This window comes from Homo sapiens, chromosome 14 (genome assembly GCF_000001405.40).
Source record: "Homo sapiens chromosome 14, GRCh38.p14 Primary Assembly".
NCBI classification, from domain to species: Eukaryota; Metazoa; Chordata; class Mammalia; order Primates; family Hominidae; genus Homo; species Homo sapiens.
Genome location: NC_000014.9, coordinates 83,278,458 through 83,281,876, shown reverse-complemented (window position 1 = coordinate 83,281,876; position 3,419 = coordinate 83,278,458).

Here is a 3,419-nt window from a genome sequence, read left to right as displayed (position 1 = left end):
CTACAGGAGAGTTTGAGGATAATAATGAACAGCTTTCTGGTTGTTAGAGAAGTGATATAGAAATATGAGAAGACAGAAAACCAATAATTTCAGATTGGTTTAGGAGAAATTGAAATGCACTGATGATTTTAAATAGAAGATAGATAGATAGATAGATAGATAGATAGATAGATAGATAGATAGATAGATAGATAGATGGTTATGGTGTGTGCATGTGTGTATGTAAACATATATTTCTTAGTTTTGCTAACTGTAAGAGCTTAGAGGAAAAAAGCCAGACCTCGGTTGTTAAAATACTCTTAGAAAAATTGATCATTTCAGTACTAGAGCAGGGAAAATTCAAAGACGAACCTAGAATACCATGTGCTAACAAAATGCTGAAATAAGGATTAGGAAGTCTCAGAAGAATGAAGGAGGTTTCCTGAAAGTTCTAATGCTGGACAATCTGTGACCTTTGAACATCAAAACAAATATTAGTAGTAATAGACTATTGACATGGTGTATACTTACATAAAGAAACAGAATAATAACATAGAGGAGGGGAAGAAAATATTTGCCTTACAGTAGAATGCTAACTAATCAATATAGAAGGCATTAAGGAATTAGAACAACATTATTAGCCAATTGTCATAAATAATTTATTTAGGCAACCATCATCAATGAATACTAAATCCAGTGAATGAATTACCAAAGCTCAGGCTATTTAGCATGGTCTCAAAGAATCCCCCACAAAAATTCAGAGGCACAACAACAGCCTGATGAAATTGTATGAACTTTGTGTGGAAGATGTTGACATATTTCTTCTAAAATGAAAATTAAACTGCTGCATCTTGCACAGGCAGCCATTAAAAAAGTCATATGCTTGGTGATACTTTTTGAATTTTAGACACACCATAGGCAATACATCCTTTAGTTCTGGAAAGCTTTCTTAAATTATTTGTTTAATAATCCACCTCCCCACCGCCCGCACCGCCCGTTCACCTATTCAATAACTTGAGATTGTTCATTAATTAGATGTTAGATCTTAAAGTTAAATATTAGACTTTCATTAATTTTCCTCTTTTAAATGGAGCATCTTCATCCTAGCATGCCATTCCTCAGTTCTGAGTTCCAATAGTATAACAGAAAGTAAACCTCCAGTCTTCTCTCCAATTTGGAGAGGAGTGAGGTGCCCAGCTACACCCATAGGAGTCCTATAAGGTTAATTGTATTTTATGTATACTTTTAAATTATTATTGAAAATTACAAATCTATAGTAGAGAGGATAATATATTAATCCCCAAGTATTTATTACAAGGCTTTAGTAATTCAAATTATGAACAATCTTATCTAAAAGCCAACAAACTTCCTTTTTTTCCATAATATAATTTAGAAGCAAACCCCAGGCATCATATTTTATATTTAAATATTTTGATATAACCTCTAGAAGATAAAAGTTATTTTTAATATAATAGAAATGTTATTATCACAACTGTGCAATGAAGTGACAACTCAACACGCTTGGCTTGCTGAAACCCCACACATTCTCAAGAAAGATCTGTCTTTAGGAATGGTTCTTGGCTGGATTCTAGAAGATGCATGCTAAGCCCTTGGAATATTCTTCTTAAGACAAGGATTTTTGTATGCTTCAGGCTTTGGGCCATGTAGTAACAGTTTGATCAGATAATTTATACTAACACTATGATTTATGTGAACACCTGTTTTTGGAGGTTGAGTAGCTTAGATCAGTTTTCATGTCAGAATAGCTTAGGTCATGCATACATGACAGATGCCCAACCAAAACTCTGGATACCAAGGCTCAGGAAGGCTTCTTTGAGTCATAAGACTTTGCACATACTGTCACATGTAATTACTGGGAGAATTAAGTGTGTTCTTAAGACTGCACGAGGATAAAACTCCTGGAAGTGTGTGCCTGGCTTCTTTTAACTTTTCCCCATAAGCTGATTTTACATTGTATCATTTCACTATGATAAATTATAACGGTAAATATAATAACTCTTCTGAGTCTTGTGAGATATTTTTTGTAAATCATTGAGTCTGGCAGTGCTCTTGGAGACCCCAAACAAAACTAACAAAACTCATAAAGATGTCAATTTTTTTAATACAGTGAATGACCCATTTCCCAGATTTTATGTGTGTCTGTGTGTGTGTCTGTGAGTGTGTGTGCATTGTGTGTGTGTTTAAATGATGATCCAAATAAGATCTAGGTGGATGTTCTTCTTAACAGTCTCACATTTCTCAATGAACATGTTTCATTTTTTTCCTATCAACTTACTTGATGAGCAAATTAGTTGATTTGTCTCCTACTATGATTTCTGATGCTTTAGATTTCAATTCTGATGCTTCAGGTTTCAGTTAAATCCATATGATGTCATTTAAAATATGTCCCTCTCTTCTGTACTGTTTCCATTATGTATTTTCTTTTCCATAATTTAGCTGGAAAACTTTCATAAAGAAAAAAAATTATCATCAACTATTTGCTGACCCTGAGGCATAGTTTGTATAGGAAATAATGGAATGTTTAATATTCCCTTATTTATTAGTTTTCAAAATAGTGAGTTGTTTCCCAAACATCCTCAAAGTTTAATCAAAGAGAATACTTTTAAAATCATTGTTTGATGTTGTTTAGTATTATTATAAAAGCAAAAAAAATTACCATATTTGATGTGTTTAAACTTATTCTAGCTGTAATTCTTTTTTATTAATAATAATAATTGTACATATTTATGGGGTACATGTAGTAATTTGAGGCAAGTATACAACATATAATGATTAAATCAAGAGTAATTAGGATAAATATCAGTATCTGTCAGTAATATTGCTTCAAATATTTGCCACTCCTTTGTATTGGGAATATTTCAAATATTATTATTTAGCTATTTTGAAATGTACAATAAATTATTGCTAACTACGGTCACTCAACTGCACTAGCAAAGACTAGAACTTACTTTTTCTATCTAACTGTATTTTTGTGTTGATTACCCAGCTTCATTTTATCCCCCCTTCCTCAGTACTTCACAGCCTCTGGTAACCATCATCTTACTCTCTACCACCATGAGAGCAACATCTGAGCTTTCACATCTGAGTGAGAATGTGTGATATTTGTTATTAATGTGCATGGTTTATTTCACTAAACATAGTGTCCTCTAATTTCATCCATGTTGCTGCAAATGACAAAATTTCATTTTTTATGGCTGAATAATATTCCATTATGTATATTACAAAATCTGTTTATCAATTGATAAACAGTTTGATTCCGTATCTTGGCTACTGTGAATGATGCTGCAATAAACAAGCACACGTATTCAACATATACTAATTGCTTTTCTTTTGGTTATATACCTAGTGGTGGAATTCTGGATTATATTGTAGTTCTACTTTCATTTATTTATTTTTAATGTCTTTTGTAGAAACAGGGA